The sequence below is a fragment of the Homo sapiens genome, chromosome 8 (genome assembly GCF_000001405.40).
Source record: "Homo sapiens chromosome 8, GRCh38.p14 Primary Assembly".
Classification (NCBI taxonomy): Eukaryota; Metazoa; Chordata; class Mammalia; order Primates; family Hominidae; genus Homo; species Homo sapiens.
In genome coordinates this window covers 106,214,595-106,217,420 of record NC_000008.11, presented here as the reverse complement: position 1 = coordinate 106,217,420, position 2,826 = coordinate 106,214,595, and the positions used below count along the sequence as shown (strand labels likewise).

The following is a 2,826-nucleotide window of genomic DNA, read 5'->3' as shown; positions in this document are numbered from 1 at the left end:
GCCTCCCATAGTGCTGGGATTACTAGCGTGAGCCACAGCGCCCCGGCCCATGTAGATTTCTTAACACAGTTCGGTTTTTTTGCTGGATACACTTCAGGATCTTATTTTTTATTTGGAAACCTCCTTCTTTATCTTGGACTTTTTAACATAACACACCGTATCTATATGCACTATGAACTCTTAAAACCTCAGACAGTTTACCTGCAAAAGGTGGTCCCAACAACGCAGAGATGCCATTAGCACAGATGATGATGCCGTAGGCATTGGCCAAATGTTCAATGCCAACCAAGTCTTCAGTCACTATGGGCATTAGGGAGAAATAACCGCTGGAAAACCCTGTCAGTGTGCAGATGACCACCAGGCCAGCGTACATATGCATCAAAGGCAGAATTAAAAATACTGAGGAGGCCAGGTGCGGTGGCTCACACCTGTAATCCCAGCACTCTGGGAGGCTGAGGCAGGCGGATCACGAGGTCAGGAGATCAAGACCATCCTGGCTAACACGGTGAAACCCCATCTCTGCTAAAAATACAAAAACAAAATTAGCCTGGAGTGGTGGGGGCCGCCTGCAGTCCCAGCTACTCAGGAGGCTGAGGCAGGAGCATAGCGTGAACCCAGGAGGTGGAGCTTGCAGTGAGCCGAGATCGTGCCACTGCACCCCAGCCTGGGCAACAGAGCGAGACTCCGTCTCAAAAAAACCAAAACCAAAACCAAAACCAAAAACAAAAACAACAAAACAAAAATACTGAGGACAAGAACGAAGCTGGCCAACAGGAAGACATTCCAAACACTGATGCAAGGTAAGTCAGCTATGACGCCCAGGATCACTTTTCCAACAATGTGAACTATTGCTATAATTGAAGTCAGAGGGAAAACCTTCGTTTGCTCCAATAAGTTATACAAATTGACGATTTCTGGGAGATGAATAAAGGAGATGACAAAGCTGCTGTATGCAAATGAAGCCCAGAAAACAAAGGCTACAAACATTCGATTTGTAAATAGGCTGTCCCAAAATAGCCTGAGTACCAATCCTCGAAGCCCTTCTTGACTCTCATAATGAGCCAGCTGACCGTCTTCAGAACCGGAAAGCGCACATGATCTGGCCTGATCGGGGCACTCCTGGGCTTGCAGGTCACAGAGGGTCTCCTCGTTCCCAGACCCGCCATCCTTCTCTTCTATTCTTCCCTGCTGTCCATTTGACATTACAGACTCTGTGGAGTGCGCGGGCAGGACGCGCAGATCTTTCTCTTCTGGGTCATTTGGGTTTTTCCCAGGAGGGAGGGGCCTCATGAGGGTCCCAAAAACAAACAGGTTTAAGGAAACGGCGCCTTGGATCAACATGGCATTCCTCCAGCCATACTCTGCACACAAGTACTTCAGTAGCACAGTTATTAGGAAAGTACCGAATCCGGTCCCCTTAGTGCTGAGGCCCTGGGCGAGGGCGCGTCTCTTCGGAAATACCTGCTCACCCACGATGACAACCGCTGACAGATAGGCCATCCCGCTGCCCAGGCCAGCTGCCGCTCCAAAAGTAATGAAGAGAAAATGCACGTTTGCAGCGTAGGCACTCAACACCCAGCCCAGGGAGTTGACGAGCCCTGCAATGATCACAGTCTGGAGGCACCCACAGGTGTTAATGAACGAGCCATTGAAAGGGCGGCCCGAGGCCCGCTGGGTTGCGCCTTACTCGGCTCCGCATCCAGATCCTCGAACTTGCTGCTCTGCTTGGAGCCCCCTGAGCTGCTAGGTGTAGAGATTTCTTGCAATGTCGCCTATCATCCTGGAGACGCGGGTGCCTGCGGCTCAGCTCTCCACTGGGCTCGGTGCGCTGGGTACCGGGCTCCCGCGCTCTTCTGCCGCTCGCTGCCAGGCCAGGTGAGAGTTTGGTGGAGCTGAAAGCTCGACGCCTCAGTCCAGGTGGCTTTAAAAAGGGAGCTTTTGGAGGCGCCCAAACCTAAGCTGGGCTTCCTTCCAATCGGAGCAATTTCCAATCTTCATGCTGGTTGATTCCTATACTGGCTATTTCTGGTTTGGCAGGGGGAAAAAATGCAGTCACCTCACATGCACACTCTTGTGGTGGCCAGTTGAAGTTTATAGCTTTGGCTGAGGTTCCCCTAAGGCACTGCACATTTATCACTGGAGGAAAGGTCCTGAAACTGAATCCAGAATGCAGGTGAGACTAGCAGTAACCTCCATTTCTCTGAGATGGGAGAGAAGGGATGAAACAGACCCTCACTGCAATATTTTTGGCCAAAGAGGACTTAATGTGACTCATTGTCCCTTATTTTTTCTCTCTCGCTCGTTTAGAGTGAGGGGTTTCACTGTGTTGCCAGGCTGGTCTTGAATACTTGGGCTCAAGCGATCCTCTGGCCTTGGCCTTCCAAAGTGCTGGGATCACAAGCTGAGCCACCTTGCCAGCTCAGTCCCTCATTCTTGGTCCCACTCTGGGTTCCACCTCTCCCTGCTCTTTCTGCATGTCTATTACCTACCTTCATGGGCACCAGGCACAACTTTCATCTCAGTGCCTCCCTACCTCATTCCCAGCAGGGAACACAACACAATGCTTTACCTTGGACAATTTTCTGTATTATTGAAGTTAATGCATGAGTCGATGAAGCCTGTGCTGTTTTACCCCTCCTGAAGGTTTTGTAGTAGTTCTCTACTGCTGTTGTAATAAATTACCACAGTAATAGCAGAGGAAAACCACACAAATTCACTATTTACAGTTCTGGAGGTTGGAAGTTTGAAATGGGTCATACTGCGCTAAGATCATGGTGTTGGCACATTGAAGGCTGTGTTCCTTCTCATGGCTCTAGAGGAGAGCCA

The 2,826-nt window shown here is 50.1% G+C and overlaps 1 pseudogene; it reads right to left on the bottom strand.

Moving 5' to 3' along the window:
* SLC16A14P1 (solute carrier family 16 member 14 pseudogene 1) lies at window positions 201-1,854 on the bottom strand (annotated as a pseudogene).